Source organism: Homo sapiens, chromosome 2 (assembly GCF_000001405.40).
Source record: "Homo sapiens chromosome 2, GRCh38.p14 Primary Assembly".
In the NCBI taxonomy this organism is placed as follows: Eukaryota; Metazoa; Chordata; class Mammalia; order Primates; family Hominidae; genus Homo; species Homo sapiens.
Window position 1 is genome coordinate 203,496,312 of NC_000002.12, and position 21,647 is coordinate 203,517,958.

The following is a 21,647-nucleotide window of genomic DNA, read 5'->3' on the forward strand; positions in this document are numbered from 1 at the left end:
CATGCCACTGCACTCCAGTGTGGGCAACAAGAGTGAAACTCCGTCTCAAAAAATAAATAAATAAAATAGTGTGATATCTGACATGGAACTTGCACATTATTTTGAGAAGATGGGAAGAAAAATTACATAAAACAATGTAAGATCAATGACTGATTAATCTGATAAATATAAATATTTCAATATTAAAGGCCCTGGAAAATCTTCAAATAAACACTAGCTTTGCTTAAACCAGCCAGCATATTCCAAAATTAAAATTAAAATCAGGCAGGCATGTTAGTATGAACTTGAAACAAATTAAATGTTTTTTTTCTTCAAGTTAGCAGATTATAAACCCTGGTTTACAAAGTTATGGTAGGTATTTTATGTTTCTTAATATCATAGTTACTGACTAAAATCTGATAAAATTTTATTTGTTAGAAAAACCAGCATATTCCTAAGTTATTTGACCACAATCCCTTTTCCTTCAACTTCTGTCCCAGGGACACAATGAACATCATCACCATATGTTACATTAAATACTCTTGACTCACATTTCTAAAACACGAATTTTGTTATGGTAGATCTAGGCAATATTTGGAATATAGCCTGTCAGCTGGTTTAAGCAATTCCTCCAAGATTATATATGGTGTATGGGCATTCCATTAAAAAAGATATGCCTAATCTTTACTAACTTGATATACATATGCCATGGTGTTAATGTGTCCCTTCCAAAACTCAAGTGTTGCCAATGTGATAGTATTAAGGGGTGGGGCCTTAAAGAAGTGATTGGGCCATAAAGGCTCCTTCTTTATTAATGGTATTAAGGATTTTATAAAAGAGATTTCATGAAGCACTGGAGTACTTTGTTCTTCCACTCTTCTGCTATGCAAGAGCACATCTCGTGCCTCCCTGTGGAGGAAGCCAGCAACAAGCCCTCACCAGACACCAAATGCCAGTGTTTTAATAATGTACTTCCCAGCCTCCAGAATAGTAAGAAAATTAATTTCTGTTCTTTATATATTACCCAGTCTCAGGAATTTTATTGCAGCAGCACACATGGACTGGTATCTTCAAAGCAGCAATCCACAAAATTATATCTGGGATCCTTAAAGGTTAGGAGAAAATGTAAGGAATCTAATTATCTGACATGGTATCATCAAGTTAAATTTTCAATCTTATTTCACTATATAAAATTTTGCAGAAAGGGTCAAATAATGTTACAAAATTAAACTGAATTTAGTTTTCAGATGCTGAAAATCATATCATATCTCATTTAATTACTTAAGGGAAATAATTTTCTAATTCTCCTAATACTGGGAAGAACCACAGCTAACCAATATCTCTAATAAATATATCTCTAATAGAAACTGATAATTTCCATTTCTTAATCTTTTATCACTCTAATCATATATAAATCAGGTCATTCTACCCTGGCAAGTGAAAAATGGATCTACCAATTTCCCAATTCATAAATGTGATTCTTAAGAAGATTTGGTTTTTACAATTTGTAACAATATTATTTCTAAGATTTTATTCATTACTATATAATTGATAGGTCAATCTCAACAGAAACTTGGTATCAGAGTTCATTAAGTGATCTACCCAGGAAAAACATAAAATGTTACTGAAAAGAAAAACCTCATCTGACCAGATGACTTAATTACTCAAATAGGTGCTAGTTTGAGAACACTCAGGAGCAGTAATAGCCAGTTTTCATAAAGAAGGTTAATAAGTAATATAATCTGGAATATACTTGCTTTTACTTCCTAATCTTTCAAACTAAACACATTGGAATAACCCAGAAAATATCCTAGGAGGAATTCTGTTTTGAGAGAGTAATACTTATTCTTAATTACATTTTATATCTCTTAAGTACATTTAAAACAACTGGGCCTGCAGCACTGTTGTCCAACAGATACCATTATGTCACTATTGGCAGAAACAGCAGCTTTAGTAACTTTAATGAGTATTTTAGGCAATAATACGCAAGGCACTGGGTTTATGGTGACTATATTCTCCATAGTAAAAATGTGGTCACATGATATTTAGGTGACTCATCATCAGGAAAATCTGTGATGTATGAACATCGTAACACACACTAAGAGGAAGTTATAATCAAAGAGAACAGGGAGAGAACATTAGTCATAAGCCTCCACGAACCATTGTGATAGGCAGGTATTATATCATTCCCATTTTATAAATGAGGAAAGCTAATCAGAAAGGGTGGCAAGCTCCGTTCTTGGAGAAGGGCTTAGAGGACAGCACTCCAGGTCTGCTGTTTCAAACAACACCTCCGATTTCAGGCATCTTACAGATAGGGCTTCCACATTAGATATCATTTAAACCAAGAGTTCAAATTTTTAAAAATGATTTTAAGAAAGGTTTAAATCCTGGACTTCTGAGAACAGAGTGTAACTGCCCATAAAAAAAATGCCATACTGGGAAAAATAAAACAACACGAAAATAACATTGTAAGATAAATATAAAATAGTTCAAATTAAAGGAATAATTTAAATTACAATGGAGCCAAAGAGAACTACAGTCATGTGCTCATAATGATGTTCAGATCAATGACAGACTGCTTATACGGTGGTCCCATAAGTATTTTTACTGTACCTTTTCTAGGTTTAGATACCATTGTATTACAATTGTCTATAGTGTTCAGTACAGTAACATGCTGTACAGGTTGTAGCCTAGGAGTAACAGGCTATACTCTACAGCCTAGGTGTGGAGTAGACTATACCACCTGGGTTTGTGTAAGTACAATTTATTATGCTGGCCCAACAAGTGCTTAATGAAGCATTTCTCAGGAAGTATCTTCATCATTAAATGACACATGACTGTACAGACTCTGCATCCAAAGCTAGCGTGTTTTAAACTGAGTTTTTTTCCTACTGTTCAAACAGGCTATTTTAAAAATCCCTTTAAAAATTTTCATTTATAGTTTTGTTTTGATCTAGACTACTACTGCCGACTTAAGGAAAATATCGCTAGAGAACATGACAGCAATGACAGAGAAACATAAAATTAACAGAAATTTTGAAAGTATCTATTGAACGTTAACTACTTAAGTTACTTTTGCCAATTTTGTCCTATTTTCAATTTGTCCCTATGTGGATTAGTTTAACAGCAACAAAAAAAAAAAAACTGGCCGGGTGCAGTGGCTCACACCTGTAATCCCAGCACTTTGGGAGGCCAAGGCGGATGGATCACCTGAGGTCAGGAGTTCAAGACTAGCATGGCCAAGATAGTGAAACCCCGTCTCTACAAAAATTAGCTGGGCATGGTGGCGGGCGCCTGTAATCCCAGCTACTTGAGAGGCTGAGGCAGGAGAATCGCTGGAACCCAGGAGGCAGAGGCTGCAGTGAGCCAAGATCGTGCCATTGCTCTCCAGCCTGAGTGACGAGTGAACTCCATCTCAAAGAAAAAAAAAACTTAAGAAACTTACTCAGAGACTTTCCAAAAAAAACTTAGGTCCTACAACATTTCTTAAAGAATTCACACTCTAAAACCACTCTCCATTCTCTAAATGCTGATGTTGATGAACCTTATTCTCCAATTCCCCAATACAGCTTAATTTCCACTAACCATACACATCAAATGAGGTGCCCCCAGACATTTTCTTATAGGCTGGGCACCATCTTGGGTCAGCCCTCTAAACTTAAAACCACATGAACATGCTCAGATACAGGACAGCAGAGTGCTATCAGAGCCATTTCCATGGGTCTAGAGTGCTCAATGTTCCAAAGACACAAGAGAAGCTTTGATTTCATTGAACATTCACCATGCCAGACACTGGAGGAACAGAGATGAACATGACAACCTCTGTCCTCAAGGAACATATAATCTAGTAGGGAACAGAAAAGGAAACCAACAATGATGAAACACTCTGTTAAGTGCTATAAAAGAGGTATGTTAAGTGAGCGTAGTTTAACTCAGTTTGAGAAGATAGGAAAGTGGTGATGCTTCAGTGGAGACCTGAAGAGTGAATATGTAAGAGAAAGGAGAAGGGTGTTTTAGGCAGAGGAACCAACATATACAAGGGTATAAAGACGTGAGAACAACATGTTAGAACTCAAAGTGACTTAGCATTTCTGAAGCATAGGATGGGTGGTACAGACTCATGGAAAATGAGGCTAGAGAGGAGGAAGCGGCAAAATCCTAAGCCATACCAAAAACTTTGGACTTTATCCTGTAGGGCAATGTTATTCCAATTGTGGTTTGTTGATGACCTGCATCAAAATTACCTGGGGTGCATCTTTTAAAGTCAGTTTTAAAATGGCCCACTCAAGATCTACTGAATACTAATGTCAAGAGGATGGAATATTTTCAACAAGTTACCCAGGGTATTGCTTATACTCACTTAAGTTTAACAAAATATAAACAACTATGTTGTTTAATAATTACTGGGAGCTCTTGCAAGACAGTAAGTAATGCCATTTTGTGTAACCACAATTTGGTTAAAGGTAAATGTGGACTCCTTAAATAAGTACTAGAATGAGTACTCCTTAAAACCATAAGGAAATCAGGTACCATGAGGATCCATCATTAACACACCCCAATTATTCCTCTTCCATTACCATAGTCTCATGCTTCCTCTCACAGTTATTCATTTACAGATAAATTTTAGTTCTTTATTTCCAGTTATGTTTCAGTAGCTTTCTCACAAAAATGGTTTTAGAAACACCTCCTATGCTGTTCTAACCTTAAAAATAATTCTAAAGAAAAACATGCACTAGAGAAAGGGGCAGGAGGGAGGTGAAGACTTCCATGTTCAAGGAGTACCCCAACTGTGCAAGTTACAACTGTTGCAAAATAAAAGCAAGAGGAAGGAAACGTAAATCAGACTAGAGAAACAATAAGAAAAAAAATGTTAAATTTAGTAAGGCACAAAAAGAGGAAGAGGACTCATCAAAAGGAGGAGAGAGGAAGTCAGAGCAGAGAAGGGAAAGGAAAGGAAAGAAGTAGGACACTCATAATGTAAAATGGAAAGATAACTGTAGGGGATTAATTACTTATCAGATGGGGCAGTGCCTGGTATGCTTGGTTTCTTTCTCTCATTACCTACAACTACACTATTTTAAAACAAGACCTTTAGTTCTGCTGTGAATGAAGTGCTGTTATTTATAAATTGCCCAAATGGAAACTGGGAATTTAATAAACCGTCTGGGAAGTTTTAAAAATGAATTTGCATGGTCAGGTATGGTGGCTCACGCCAGTAATCCTAGCAACTTTGGGAGGCCAAGGCGGGCAGACTGCTTGAGCCCAGGAGTTTGAGACCTGCCTGGGCCACATGGCGAGACCTCATCTCTTAAAAAAATAAACATAATTTTATAACTTTTGCTCTTAATTTATAAAGTAGATGAGTTAAAAAAAAAAGTTAAAAGTTGCTTTTTATATATCCATCACTGAAGTTTCCTCTGTAGATTAGTGACCCTCAATAGAAAGGGCCTACAGAAAGGTTCTACTTAGGATCCAAACCTTCGAAAATACTCTGCCTACAAAGCATCAAGCTAAGCATTATGAAAAAAAAAAAAAAAAAAGGCAAAAAAACAAATACAAATTCTGTAACTTCAAAGAACATTAATACTAACTGTGGGAGAACAGGGCTCCCTGCAGCCTTGACCTTCTGGGCTCAAGCAGTCCTCCTGCCTCAGCCTCCCTGAGTAGCTGGGACGACAGATATAAGATATCTTGATTAACAAATTCTCTAGCAACAAAGTTCCTTTTGTAGACCAGTGCATGAAGCAAATTTAAAGGAAGCTACAGTCTCCTATGTGTTGAAAGGGACTAAGAAGGAAGCAATGTGCTATGCTATTCAGAAGCTTCATAGAAGCAAGCCTGAATTAACTAGCTACCAGGGAACTTGCATGGATGGCCTGGTCCTCAGAGTGAGCTGACACCTGGAACTCAGTTTTGTAAAACTGCCAGATGGAACCAAACCTTCCTAACAGAGAGGTATGCTATTCTTGGGCCAGTCACGGTAAATTCTTCTTTACCCAGAGGACAGAGAAGTACTAGGAAAGATGATTTACACCCTTATGCCATCTCTTTGATTTAAGCCTTCATTTCTGACAACCCAGGATGTAACTAACACATCCTCTTCACTATCATCTACATTAACTGTGAAGTAATTTAAGATCACATAATGAAGCATAAAAACAAACTAGAACTATTTTAACAGTTGGTAGAGATTGTATTGCCTAAGAGTTATAAATCAAATTCAAAGGCAATTTTATTAATGTTTTATTTATCAGGCACTTAAATGAACCCCTTAGAAAAAGAATTTGGGAGGCCGAGGCGGGCGGATCACGAGGTCAGGAGATTGAGACCATCCTGGCTAACACGGTGAAACCCCGCCTCTACTAAAAATACAAAAATTAGCCGGGTGTGGTGGCAGGTGCCTGTAGTCCTAGCTACTCGGGAGGCTGAGGCAGAAGAATGGCGTGAACCCTGGAGGTGGAGCTTGCAGTGAGCCGAGATCTCGCCACTGCACTCCAGCCTAGGCAACAGAGTGAGACTCCGTCCCAAAAAAAAAAAAAAAGAATTCCTTTTACAGAAAGGTGAACCAGGCCGGGCACAGTGGCTCACACCTGTAATCCCAGCACTTTGGGAGGCCGAGGCAGGCGGATCACCTTAGGTCAGGAGTTCGAGACCAGCCTAACAAGGTGAAACCCTATCTCTACTAAAAATACAAAAATTAGCTGGATGTAGTGGCTGGCAGGCACCTGTAATCCCAGCTACTCGGGAGGCTGAGGCAGGAGAATCACTTGAATCCAGGAGGTAGAGGTTGCAGTGAGCCAAGATCCCGCCATTGCATTCCAGGCTGGGTGACAGAGCGAGACTCTGTCTCAAAAACAAACAAACAAACAAACAAAAAAATGAAAATATGAACCAATTTTAATGAGAATAAGCATTCCTTTATTTACATTAGATTTTCATAATATTGGATATTCTTAATCTATTAAACCGCAAACAGGAACTCCCCATCTGTATTAGTCTGTTTTCATGCTGCTGATAAAGACATACCAGAGACTGGGAAGAAAGAGGTTTAACTGGACGTACAGTTCCACATGGCTGGGAGGGCCTCAGAATCATGGCAGTGGCAAGACAAAATGTGAAGAAGCAAAAGTGGAAACCCATGATAAACCCATCAGATCTCATGAACTTATTCACTATCACAAGATTAGCACAAGAAAGACTGGCCCCCAAGATTCAATTATCTCCCCCTGGGCCCCTCCCACAACACATAGGAATTCTGGGAGATACAATTCAAGTTGAGATTTGGGTGGGGACACAGCCAAACCATATCATTTGGCCCCTCCAAATCTCATGTCCTCACATTTCAAAACCAATCATGCCTTCCCAACAGTCTCCCAAAGTCTTAACTAATTTCAGTATTAACCTGAAAGTCCACAGTCCAAAGTCCCATCTGAGACAAGGCAAGTCCCTTCTGCCTATGAGCCTATAAAATCAAAAGCAAGCTAGTTACTTCCCAGATACAATGGGGGTACAGGTATTGGGTAAATACAGCCGTTCCAAATGGGAGAACTTGGCCAAAACAAAGGGGTTACAGGGCCCATGAAAGTCCAAAAGCCAGTGGGGCAGCCAAATTTTAAAGCTCCAAAATGATCTCCTTTGGCTCCAGGTCTCACATCCTGGTCACGCTGATGCAAAAGGTGGGTTCCCATGGTCTTGGGCAGCTCTGCCCCTGTGGCTTTGCAGGGTACAGCCTCCCTCCTGGCTGCTTTCACGGGCTGGCATTGAGTGTCTGAGGCTTTTCCAAGTGCACAGTGCAAGCTGTCTGTAGATCTACCATTCTGGGGTCTGGAGGACAATAGCCCTCTTCTCACAGCTCCACTAGGCAGTGCCCCAGTGGGGACTCTGTGTGGGGGCCCCAACCCCACATTTCCCTTCCGCACTGTCCCAGGAGAGGTTCTCCATGAGAGCCCCACCCCTGCAGCAAACTTTTGCCTAGGCATCCAGGTGTTTCTATACATCTTCTGAAATCTAGGCCGAAGTTTCTAAACCTCAGTTCTTGACTTCTGTGCACCCGCAGGCTCAACACCACATGGAAGCTGCCAAGGCTTGGGGCTTCCACCCTCTGAAGCCACAGCCTGAGCTCTATGTTGGCCCCTTTCAGCCACAGCTGGAGTGGCTGGGACACAGGGCACCAAGTCCCTAGGCTGCACACAGCACAGGGATCCTGGGCCCGGCCCACGAAACCACTTTTTCCTCCTGGGCCTCTGGGCCCTGTGATGGGAGGGGGCTGACCTGACGGTCTCTGACATGGCCTGGAGACATTTTCCCTGGTCTTGGGGATTAACATTAGGCTCCTTGCTATTTATGCAAATTTCTGCAGCTGGATTGAATTTCTCCTAAAAAAAAAAAAAAAGTTTGTCTTTTCTACTGCATCATCAGGCAGAAAATTTCCTGAACTTTTATGCTGTTTCTCCTTTAAAACAGAATGCTTTTAATAGCACCCAAGTCACCTTTTGAATGGTTTGCTGCTTTGAAATTTCTTCCATCAGATACCCTAAATCATCTCTCTCAATTTCAAAGTTCTACAAATCTCTAGCGCAGGGGCAAAATGCCGCCAGTGTCTTTGCTAAAACATAATGAGAGTCACCTTTGCTCCAGTTCCCAACAAGTTCCTCATCTCCATCTGAGACCACCTCAGCTTGGATCTTATTGTTCATATCACTATCAGCATTTTTGTCAAAGCCATTCAACAAGTCTCCAGACAGTTTCACACTTTCCTACATTTTCCTGTCTTCTTCTGAGCCCTCCAAACTGTTCCAGCCTCTGCCTGTTACCCAGTTCCAAAGACACTTCTACGTTTTTGGGTATCTTTTCAGCAACGCCACACTCTACTGGTACCAATTTACTGCATTAGTCCATTTTCAGGCTGCTGATGAAGACAAACCTGAGATTGGGAAGAAAAAGAGGTTTAATTGGACTCACAGTTCCACATGGCTGGGGAGGCCTCAGAATCATGGTGGGAGGCAAAAGGCACTTCTTACATGGCGGTGGCAAGAGAAAATGTGGAAGAAGCAAAAGTGGAAACCCCTGATAAACCCATCAAATCTCATGAGACTTATTCACTATCACAAGACTAGCACAAGAAAGACTGGCCGCCATGATTAAATTACCCCCCCCGGGTCCCTCCCACAACACAGAGGAATTCTGAGAGATACAACTGAAGTTGAGATTTGGGTGGGGACACAGCCAAACCATATCACTAAAGTGGAAAAATACAATTTAGTTCAACGCTCTACAAAGAAACCCCTAACATCCCTATATATAAAAAGTTCTGATTATCTTATAATTAACTATTACACAATATGCCATAAAGCATTATCTGAAACCACAGAGTAGATAAAAAACTATAAAAACTGAAAAACAACAAATAATTGATTGTGTTGTTTATATTCCAGATTCTCAATTTCAAGAGCTGTGAGACAGTAAATTTCTGTTGCTTTAAGCCACTCAGCGTGTAGTAATTTGTTACTGCAGCCCTAGCAAATGAATAGTTACTATACACACACGCGCGCGCACGCACACACACACACGGCTGCTCCACACTTCAGACCTTTTGCTGTTATACTACATAGTGTAGCTATTTAGTTATTTTTGCAGACAGCTGATGTTGTGCATGTCCACTCCAGCCTCAACTAGAAGTAGAAGCTGCAACTTCATTCCTCTTAGAGAAAACGGTCTTGAAACTATGGAAAGCCTCACGAGGGAGGCAGCAGTATTTTTCTTCACTTTTGTCCTACCTATTCCCCTACCAGATGGCCAAACGCACTGGCAAGAAATCCAATCCCAGAGGCAACCCATGCTTTGAGAGGAAAGGGGGTAACAAATAGACGTAGCCTATAGCTTGGAAGTCATTTGGATTAGGTATTGAATTATCAGTATAAATAAACTCAAGGTTTCAAACAGACAAAAAGATGGGCAGAAATAAAGACAGAGATGTGTGTATTATGTGTTTGTAGGTATGTCCACTGAAAAAGCCTGGTGGCAATGACACCAGGTAATTAATTAGCACACTTGGTTCCCAGTTTTTGGTTTCAAAATACTGTATACACTCTACACAAAAAGTAACAGACACCTGGAGTAGTAATTCCAGGGCAGGGCAGGGAAAAAAAACAAGATGAGATCTTGCAGTGAGCAGAGATCGTGCCACTGCACACTCCAGCCTGGGCAACAGAGCGAGACTCCGTCTCAAAAAAAAACAAAAAACAAAAAACAAAAAACAAGATGAGCCTCTAGAACATCATCTAGTGGCAAAAAGTCCTCAATTAATGATAGGCACATGTCAAATGGACACAGGAACCAGCCTGAAGGCCCAGATCAGGGGTCTAATCTGTGAAAAGTTAAATACTGAAATAAATTATGATAGAAACAAATTATAATCCACTGACTAAAATCCATATATAGATATATATCTATATATATATATATCTATATATATATCTATATATATCTAGATATATATATCTATATATATATCTATATCTATATATCTATATATATATCTATATCTATATATCTATCTATATCTATATATATATATATATATATATAGATATATATATATATATATTTTTTTTTTTTTTGAGATGAACTTTCACTCTGGGTTGCCCAGGCTGGAGTGCAATGGCACAATCTCAACTCATTGCAACCTCCACCTCCCAGGTTCAAGCGATTCTCCTGCCCCAGACTCCCAAGTAGCTGGGATTACAGGCGCCTGCCACCACACCCGGCTAATTTTTTTATTTTTAGTAGAGACAGGGTTTCACCATGTTGACCAGGCTGGTCTTGAACTCCTGACCTCAGGTGATACGCCCACCTCGGCCTCCCAAAGTGCTGGGATTACAGGTGTGTGCCACCGTGCCTGGCCACAAAATCCATATTGAATTAAATAAAATATACACAGTAAAGAAGAAAGCTCTTACTTACTGTAGAATGCCAACTACTTAATGTAGATGAAATGACAAAAAAAAATCACCATTTTGCAACCACTGTTATAATTATAAAGTATTTATTTTAAAAGTAATTTAAAAACCAAGTTGCTAAGTTTTAAAAAATCAAGGCAAGAATCATCAATAGAGGCTAAAACTAGTAGGTGAAAATTTGATGACATATATTCTCAAAATATCTCCCCACAAATTACTCAGAAGACAACCTTAACCAAGTGACCAAAATATCATCACTACAAAGGCAAACCAACATCAGAGGGTTCCAGTTATAATGCATTGGGAAGGATACAACATCACTGTAGTTATTCCTGCAAAAAATGCAGTACCTGAATCAAATCATAAGAGACATTTTACAAAATAATTGGCCAACACTTTTCAATAATGTGATGGCCAAGAAACAAAGAAAGGCTAAGGAAATGTTCCATATTCAATGGAACTTAAAGAGACATGACAACTAAATACAATGCTTGAACCTGGACTGGATCTTAGACCCAGGGAAAATATCTAAACATAGCCATAAGGACAATGTTGGAACAGTTGACAAAATATGACTGGATTAGATCACAGTATTGAATCAATGTTACATTTCCTGATTTTGATAACAGTATTGCAGTGACGTAAGAGAACATCTTTGATCTTAAGAAATATACACTGGGGCCGGGCACGGTGGCTCATGCCTGTAATCCCAGCACTTTGGGAGGCTGAGGCGGGCGGATCACCAGGTCAGGAGATCAAGACCATCCTGGCTAACACAGTGAAACCCCATCCCTACTTAAAAAAAAAAATACAAAAAAATTAGCCACATGTGGTGGTGGGTGCCTGTAGTCCCAGCTACTTGGGAGGCTGAGGCAGGAGAATGGCGTAAACCCGGGAGGCAGAGCTTGTATAGTGAGCTGAGATAGCGCCACTGCACTCCAGCCTGGGCAACAGAGCAAGACTCTGTCTCAAAAAAAAAAAAAAAAAAAAAGGAAGAAAGAAAGAAATATACACTGGGGTTACAGGCATGCACCACCATGCCTGGCTAATTTTGTATTTTTAGTAGAGACAGGGTTTCTCCATGTTGGTCAGGCTGGTCTCGAACTCCCAACCTCAGGTGATCCGCCTGCCTCGGCCTCCCAAAGTGTTGGAATTACAGGCGTGAGCCACCACGCCTGGCCTTGAGGTTGTTTATATTCTTCTTACAACTTTTCTGTAGGTTTGAAATTACAGTTTTCCCTTGGCACCAGGGGGACTGGTTCCAGGACCTCCACCTATACCCAAATCATGCATACTCAAGTCCAGTAAACCCTCCATATACGTAGGTTTCACATCACCACAATGATCCATGTTTGGCTGAAAAAAAATCTGCATACAAGCAGACCCACACAGTGCAAACCTGTGTTGTTCAAGTGTCAACAGTATATCAAAATAAATTAAGAAAGAGAGAGATGAAGGAGGAGAGATAAAAAGAAAAAAGTCTTTACCCTCAGAAAGCTATAATTAGGAAAACAGTGTGTTAACAAATAGATCATCTAAATTTCAGAAATAAATTTAAGGAAAAGGAAAAAAAGACAAGCTATAAAACACTTTTACTAAATTAATACGTTTAGTCTAAGGACACTGAAAAATAATTGTGTATTTCTCCAATATATGGTTTTTATTATGTATGCATATGCTCCCTTTCCTAAAGTATATTTGCCTTGCTTACTCAGTTAACCTTTTTAGCTTATTTATAAAAATTTAGCATCTTAGAAAGATATTTATTCATCAGACATCCTTTCACAGATGCAAAAAGAGTCATTTAAAAAATAATTTTTTTTTTTTTTTTTTTTTTTTAAGAGAGAGTCGCTCTGTCACTCAGGCTGGAGTGTGGTGACACGATCTTGGCTCACTGCAACCTCTGCCTCCCAGGTTCAAGTGATTCTTGTGCCTCAGCCTCCTGAGTAGCTGGGATTACAGGTGCACACCACCACACCTGACTAATTTTTGTATTTTTATAGAGATGAGATTTTGCCATGTTGTTCTCAAACCCCTGGCCTCAAGGGATCCAACCACCTTGGCCTCCCAAAGTGCCTGGATTACAGGCGTGAGCCACCACACCCGGCCCTAAAAAAATAAGTAATTTTTTAAAAAGTTCGTTAACATCACAAGTAGGTCAGAAAAAAATCAGAATTCGGTTCCAAATCCAAAGTTAGTATTTAATTAAATTGAAATGCTTACAGTAAATACAGACTTCAAGATGGGTATTTTTAAAGATGTTTTGATTATTAAAACTGTGTTACTTTTGTTACTGTCAGAACAAAAGGAGTAAAACAGTAAATCACTTCTATTTTGCATTATTCATTAACATATTTCCTGACCTCTTCCCAACATCCAGATAGGAGGTATTACTAAAGTTGATCAAATATCCCCCACTGATATAGTTTGGATGGGTATCCCTGCAAATCTCATGTCAAATGTAATCCCTAATGTTGGAGGTGGGGCCTGGTGTGAGGTGATTGGATCATGGAGGTGGTTTCTCATGAATAGTTTAATACCATCCCCTTGGTGCTGTCCTCTCAATAGTGAGTTCTTGTGAGATGTGGTCATTTAAAAGTGTGTGGCACCTCCCCCCTACTCTTGCCCCTGCTCCGGCCATGTCACCTGCCTTGTTCCCCCTTCACCTTCTACCATGATTGTATAAGCTTTCTGAGGTCTCCCCAGAAGCAGAGCAGATGCCAGCATCATGCTTCCTGTATAGCCTGCAGAACCATGAGCCAATTAAACCTCTTTTACTTATAAATTATACAGTCTCAGGTATTTCTTTATAGTAATATGAGAATGGCCTAATACATACAACCAAAAAAGCTTCAAGATGTCTGCTTTCTGTTTCTATCTCATAAATGTAAAATTCCTAGGAAAGACATTTTACCACTCATTACTGATAAAAGATACATTTAATACTGTCGGCGCCTGCCTGTAATCCCAGCTGCTCAGGAGGCTAACGTAGGAAAATTGCTTGAACCTGGGAGGCAGAGGTTGCAGTGAGCTGAGATCATGCCACTGCACTGCAGCCTGGGTGATAGAGCAAAACTCCATCTCAAAAAAAAAAAAAAAAAAAAAAAAAGTCCTCTTGAGGTTCTTGAGGGTAATAGGAAGTAATCCCTTACCAAAGGCTGTAGTAGAGGTAGGGACCATTCATAAAGAAGCCAGAGGATTAAGAGAATAGAAATGGGAAAAAGGATGCTCTGCAGGAGAGCAGAGAGTATTCTCCAGGGTGGCATCCCCCAGGCAATTAAGACATTTTCTTCCAGGGTCACTGAAACTACAAAAACAAACTCTCAAACCTGGGATGCAAACTCAAATACCTGCAGGGGTCAGGCAGCCAATATACATACTGGTGGTGGTAGTTAGATATAAACCAATAGGGAGTGGTGAGGTCTGGGAACTGTGACAGCACACCTCAGCTAAAAACACTAGAATTTTTTAAGTTTATTCTGGAATTAAGATAGTGGTGAAGGTTGCATGACCTTGTGAATGTAATAAAACTCACTGAGTGTACACTTTAAAAGAGTAAATGTTTGGGAGGGTGAGGCAGGAGGATTGCTTGAGCCCAGGAGTTCGAAACCAGACTGGGCAACATAGCGAGACTCTGTCTGTATTAAAAAATAAATTTAAAAAAAGAGTAAATATTATGTATATCTCAATTTAAAAAAAACTAAAAGTTTAAGTGTGTGCTAGTTAAACAAGAGAGGAGTTAGATGCCACTTCCTCTGAGAAGCCCATGAACTCTGTACCTCTATGGCATTTATAGCTAATCAGCTTTGTATTATGTGGTGGTTACTGGTGCACTTGCCTTATCACCCTCCACACCCAACTAGATTGCAAGCTCTGGAAAGAGAGAAACCATATGGTTCTCATTTTTCACCCCAGAGCAACTACCACAGAAATATATTCTTTCTTGATGCAAATTTCGACTTTTTTCTGCCAAGTATTTCTAATTTAAGATGACTCAAAGCTAAAGGTACATTTCTTTAAAAAAAAAAAAAAGTGGCCAATTTATCTGGTTCTAGTTTAAAGAAATATTAATCAAAAGAAACCAACACATTCCAAAATTAATTTCCCTATCAATAGAAGAATGGTTAGGAAAAATCAGAAAATTCTGCAATGCACTTTAGCTTCAGAAGAGTATTTTAATAGTATTTCTATAAGGTTATTTCAAGGCATATGATTTGATTCAATAGCTGCGTTAATGACTCTCTGGTAAAAATTAACAAATGACTATTAGTAAGGGTTCTTGCACCTGACAGAAACCCAACTCAAACTAGTTTTAACAAAGAATCTATTCAAAGTATAATTATCGGTACATTTGTCACAATGTTTGTCCTCTCAATTTCTTTAATCTCCCTTCCTCTTCCCTTCCAGGGTTTCATTCCAAAATTCTCTACCTTCTTTACATTTCCATTTCCCATGTCTTTGCTGTCTCCCCATTTTAACCTGTGAGTTCTCTTTCAGTATCCCTTTAAAAAGCTACTCCCAATTCCTATATATGAAAAACCAAAATCCACACAGTCGCTAAAAGAGACTTTAAGAATCGGCCAGGCACGGTGGCTCATGCCTGTAATCCCAGCACTTTGGGAGGCAGAGGTGGGAGGATCACAAGGTCAAGAGATTGAGATCATCCTGGCCAATATGGTAAAACCCTGTCTCTACTGAAAATACAAAAAAAATTAGCTGGGTGTGGTGGTGTTCCCCTATAGTCCCAGCTACTCGGGAGGCTGAGGCAGGAGAATCGCTTGAACTCAGGAGGCAGAGGTTGCAGAGAGCCGAGATCGCACCAATGCACTCCAGCCTGGTGACAGAGTGAGACTCCGTTCCAAAAAAAACAAAAAAGAATTAAGCAGAATATGGGCCAGGGGTGGTGGTGGCTCACACCTATAATCTCAACACTTTGGGAGGCCCAGGCAGGCGGACCACTTGAGGTCAGAAGTTGGAGCCCAGCCTGGCCAACATGACGAAACCCTGTCTCTACTAAAAATACAAAAATTAGCTGGGTGTGGTGGTGCACACCAAGATTGTGCCACTGCACTCCAGCCTGGGTGACAGAGTGAGACTCTGTCTCAAAAAAAAAAAAAAAACCCAAAAAACAAAAAACAAACAAATTCTCCCTCCATGTTTGTATGCCTCAACATTTTATTCCACCAGGAGTAAGAAATCCAACCAGAGATGGATCATTATTCCTGACATTAATGAGACACAAATGGAAGTAAGATAGAATTTAACAGTCAAAAATTGCCTTGGGTGACAAGAATAGTCTAAAAAACTTATTGAAATTTTTGGAATGAGTTTGTTGGGTATTTAAACAACATATGCTAAACATCCCTTACCTTTTTTTTTTTTTTTTTTTGAGACAGAGTCTTGCTCTGTCATCCAGGCTGGAGTACAGTGGTGCCATCTTAGCTCACTGCCACCTCCGCCTCCCAGGTTCAAGCGATTCTCCTTGCCTCAGCCTCCCAAGTAGCTGGGATTACAGGCACATGCCACCATGCCTGGCTAATTTTTTGTTATTTTTTAGTAGAGACAGGGTTCACTGTGTTAGCCAGGATGGTCTGGATCTCCTGACCTGGTGATCCGCCCACCTTGGTCTCCCAAAGTGCTGGGATTACAGGCATGAGCCACCGCGCCCGGCCATCCCTTAACATTTTAACACAAATTCTGGTCCATAAGAAATCTCAAATAGGTAAATCTTTCATGTTTATGTCCTAAGTGTGAATGAGTAAAAACAGACTTTCATTATCTTACACAATTGAAAACGTTAGTTTAATAAACAGTTTGCCAGATCTCCCTAGTTATCTAGGACTAAACAAGGAATCAGGAGACTTGAAATTCTTGTCTTAATTCTGCCACTAACTAGCTAGAACTTTGAGTTAAATCATTTAAATCCTTAGCCCTCACTTTCTTAATCTGCAGAAAAATGGGGGGGGGAATAGATGAACTAGTTGATACCAAAGATTTCCTCCACTCCTCCAACCCCATTCTATTTTTGTCTGAATTTCTACTATTTAATTACTGACTTCACTCTCAATTTCTTCCTATTTATCAGTCTTTTCTCTCAATCTTTTTTTTTTTTTTTTTTTTTGAGATAGAGTCTCGCTCTGTCGGCCAGGCTGAAGTGCAGTGGTGTGATCTCGGCAGACTGCAAGCTCCACCTCCCAGGTTCATGCCATTCTCCTGCCTCAGCCTCCCAGGTAGCTGGGACTACAATCCACCACATTATGCCCCGCCCGAGACTCTATTTCAAAAAAAAAAAAAAAAAAAAAGGCCAGGCGCGGTGGCTCACACCTATAATGCCAGCACTTTGGGAGACTGAGGTGGGCAGATCACTTGAGGTCAGGAGTTCGAGACCAGCTGGCCAACATGGTGAAACCCCGTCTCTACTAAAAATACAAAAATTAGCCAGGTGTGGTGGCAGGCGCCTATAATACCAGCTACTCGGGAGGCTGAGGCAGGAGAATTGCTTAAGCCTGGGAGGTAGAGGTTGCAGTGAGCCGAGATCACGCCACTGCACTACAGCCCAGGAGACAGAGCAAGACTCAGTCTCAAGAAAAAAAAAAAAAAATCAAAAAAATTATACAGAGACTCTCTCTGTCGCCCAGGCTGGAGTGCAGTGGTGTGATCTCAGCTCACTGCAGCCTCCACCTCCCGGGTTCAAGTGATTCTCCTGCCTGAGCCTCCAGAGTGGCTGGGATTACAGGCACACCACCACACCCAGCTAATTTTTGTATTTTTAATAGAGACAGGGTTTCATCATGTTGGGCAGGCTGGTCTCAAACTCCTGGCCTCAAGTGATCACCTGCCTCAGCCTCCCAAAGTGCTGGGATTGCAGGCATGAGCCACCACACCTGGCCCTCTCTCCAATCTTAATTCCGGAGTAAGGTATCTGCTGCCAGCTACTCTTTACTCTATTACTTAAGGGGAGGGAGCAGTTTAGGGAGCCAGCTTTCCCACCTTCACAGTCCAAAGACAGCCACAGCTATCTGCTCTGCCCTAGTTCAAATGAAGTCTCAGGAGTTTAGAAATTGTCTGAGGTGCTTTGACTTCTAATTTAATACTTTTAGGGTTTTTTTGTTTTTGTTTTTGTTTTTACTCTCTGTGTATTCATTTGTTTAAATAGTTAATATGGTCATGGTTATGAGAGAATAAAATTCAACTTAGTGTACAACAAAATATGGATTCCAGGAAGCTTAGAGGGTGGCTACCAGTGAGACAATGAGCAGTATCCCCCCAGGGTGGGCAGCATGTCGCACATCTAAAATTTGTGGGGTTTTTTTGTTTTTTTAAGACGGAGTCTCGCTGTGTCGCCCAGGCTGGAGTGCAGTGGCGTGATCTCGGCTCACTGCAAGCTCTGCCTCCCGGGTTCATGCCATTCTCCTGCCTCAGCCTCCCGAGTAGCTGGAATTACAGGCGCCCACCACCACGTGCAGCTAATTTTTTGTATTTTTAGTAGAGACGAGGTTTCACCGTGTTAGCCAGGATGGTCTCAATCTCCTGACCTCATGATCCACCCGCCTCAGCCTCCCAAAGTGCTAGGCTTACAGGCATGAGCCACCGCACCTGGCCAAATTTGTTTTTCATTTAACAATCTTGAAAATCCACATCAATTCCACATTCTGCTTCATATAATACCAATTAGAATAGAAAAAGTGTTTAAAACTAAGTAAAACTAAAGCTTCAGAATAATGCTGCCATATTTATTATGTGGTTTTGCATTCCCAATCTCTCCCTCCCAATCCCCAACCCTGTGTGCATGTGTACATACACTTTGAGGGGACCTAGGGGTACAATACTCCAGTTTTGAAAAGTAGGAAAGTAGAGGGTATCATCTCCATCCATTATAATGAAGAAACTGACATTCACAGTCTCAGATAATATATTAAAAATATTTTATAGGCTACTTATAATTATCTTTTGTGTTAACCTCTCAATAAAATTTAAGCAAAACTTTAAAAATCTGTAATTTAACTAATGTACAATAAAGAAACCATTAACAATGCATAACCATTGCAAGTTCTGTTTGACGGTATACTGTGTAAAAAGAGAAGGGGATTTTCAAAATAACAGCGATTCTAATCTTGCCACATTGGCTAGAACTAATAATGGTCAGGCAGTGTCAAGTTTAGTGCCCTGTTTTTCATCATAGCTAAAAGGTTCACATGAATGGCCTCATATCCACAATATGCTAAAATGACATTCGGCTAAATTGGCAGAAATGGCTAAGCTGGTGTCTTTTATTGTATCACTGTTTGGTATGCATTGCCAGTTGAAGAAAATGAACTTCATTCTGTTAAGAACGGGGCTGTCTGGTTATTAGACCACTTGAGTTGGAATCCCAACTCAAACACTGAGTAGTTCCATCAACTTACCTACAGAGGAACAAACATATAAATTATATCCAACTTCTCAGAAACCATGCAAGCAAGAGAGTGGAGAGAAACATTTAAAGTGTTGAGAGAAACCAACCAAACTAGAATTCTGTACCTGGCAAAATCACCCTTCAAAAGTGAAGGAGAAATACTTTCTCAGACAAACAATAGTTGGAGGAATTTGTTGCCAGTAGAAGTGCTTTGCAAGAAATATTAAAAGAAGTACATTAGAAATAAGGAAAATGATATAGTTAAGACACTCAAACTGGCATAAAGGAAGAGCATCAAAGAAGAAATCAGTGAAGGTATAACTTTTACTCTTCTTAATTGATCTAAAGATAATAGTTTGTTCAAAATAATGGCAACAATATACGTGATTACGTAAGCTTATGTATAGATAATATATATATGCTTATGTATGCTTACATATAAGTGAATTACAGCAATGGTTCAAAAGACAGGAGAGAGGAATTCATATTTTGTTATAAGGTACTCACATTACACCCATGAAGTGGTACACTATTATCTGAAAGTGGATTTCAATTAGTTGTATATGTAAATTGCAAAGTCTTGGGTGACCGCTAAAAAAAAGTAAGAGAAATACAACTGATACACTAAGAAAGGAGAGAAAACTGAATCATATAAAATGCTCAATTAAAAGGCAGAAAAAGAGTAGAATACAAAATGGAATAAAAAAACAAGGTCAAGAAATAGCAAATGGTAATAAATATGGCAGATATTAATCCAATTATATTAATAACCACTGTGAACATCAACAGTCTAAATGTATCAATTGAAAGAGATTTTTGTTGGCGGGGCGTGATGGCTCACGCCTGTAATCCCAGATTTTGGGAGGCCAAGGCGGGCAGATCAGTTCAGGCCAGGAGTTTGAGACCGGCCTGGCCAACATGGTGAAACCCCGTCTCTACTGAAAATACAAAAATTAGCCAGGTTTGATGGTGTGCATCTGTAATCCCAGCTACTTGGGAGGCTTGAACCTGGGAAGCAGAGGTTTCAGTGAGCTGAGATAGCACCACTGCACTCCAGCCCAGACAACAGAGTGAGACTATGTCTCAAAAAAAGAAAAAGAAAAAAGGCCAGGCGCAGTGACTCATGACTGTAATCCCAGCACTTTGGGAGGCCAAGGCAGGCGGATCATGACGTCAGGAGATCGAGACCATCCTGGCTAACACGGTGACACCCCGTCTCTACTAAAAATACAAAAAAATTAGCTGGGCGTGGTGGTGGGCGCCTGTAGTTCCAGCTACTCGGGAGGCTGAGGCAGGAGAATGGTGTGAACCCGGGAGGCAGAGCTTGCAGTGAGCCGACATCGCGTCACTGCACTCCAGCCTGGGTGACAGAGTGAAAGACTCCGTCTCAAAAAAAAAAAATAAAGAAAGAAAGAAAAAGTTTTTGTCAAAGTGGATCAAAAGACAAGACCCAACTCTGTTGTCTACAAGAAACCCACTTTAATATAGACACAAATAGATGAAAAGTAAACCAACAGAGAAAAATATGCCATCCTAACACTAATCAAAAGAAAGCAGGAGGAGCTAACTTAATTTCACAGTGGACTTTAAAGCAAGGAAAGTTATTAGGGATAAAGAAGGGTATTACATAATGATAAAGGGTCGAGTCTCCAAGATGACATTACATCCTGAATGCATATGTGCCTAACAACAGAGCATCAAACTATGAGAGGCAAAAAAAAAAAAAAAAAAAAAAAAGACAGAAAAGAAAGAAATGAATCCACTATCATAGCTGGAGACTTGAATACCTCTCTATCAGAAATGGGCAGATTCAGCAGGCAAAAAATCAGTAAAGATATAGTTGAACTCAATAACACCATCAATCACCTGGATATAACTGACATCTATGCGCTAATTCATCCAAGAACAGAATACATATTCTTCTCAAGCTCACACTGAATATACTCCAAGACAGATCACATTCTGGACCATAAAACACACCATTAACAAATGTAACATAATAGAAACCATATATAATGTCTGCTCTCAGAGCACAATGTAACTAAACTAGAAATCAGTCACAAACATAATTGAAAAAAATATCAAAATACATGAGATTACACAACAACCTCTTAAATAACACCTGGGTCAAAGAAGAAATCTCAAAAGAAATTTTAAAAATATTTTAAATAAAATGAAAATGAAAACACAATTTACCAAGTTTGTGGGATGCAACAAAAGCAATGCTTAGAGGGACATTTATAGCATTGAATGTCTGCATTAGAAAAGAGGACCTAAAATCAACAATCTAAGTTTCTACCTTAGAAATCTAG

At 39.8% G+C, this 21,647-nt stretch overlaps 1 protein-coding gene across 19 annotated transcripts in view; it reads right to left on the reverse strand.

The window, feature by feature from the left end:
- The window catches only part of RAPH1 (Ras association (RalGDS/AF-6) and pleckstrin homology domains 1), a 101,620-nt gene that overhangs the window by 62,630 nt on the left and 17,343 nt on the right, over nt 1-21,647 (reverse strand). For 6 of the 19 annotated variants that reach the window (NM_001439031.1, NM_001439030.1, XM_011511646.4 and 3 more), the window contains one exon: nt 1,004-1,084. The exons of the other annotated variants lie outside the window; for them this stretch is intronic. The gene's annotated coding sequence lies outside the window, so the exon portion shown is untranslated. The remainder of the gene's footprint in view (nt 1-1,003; nt 1,085-21,647) is intronic. 19 annotated transcript variants of the gene reach the window in all.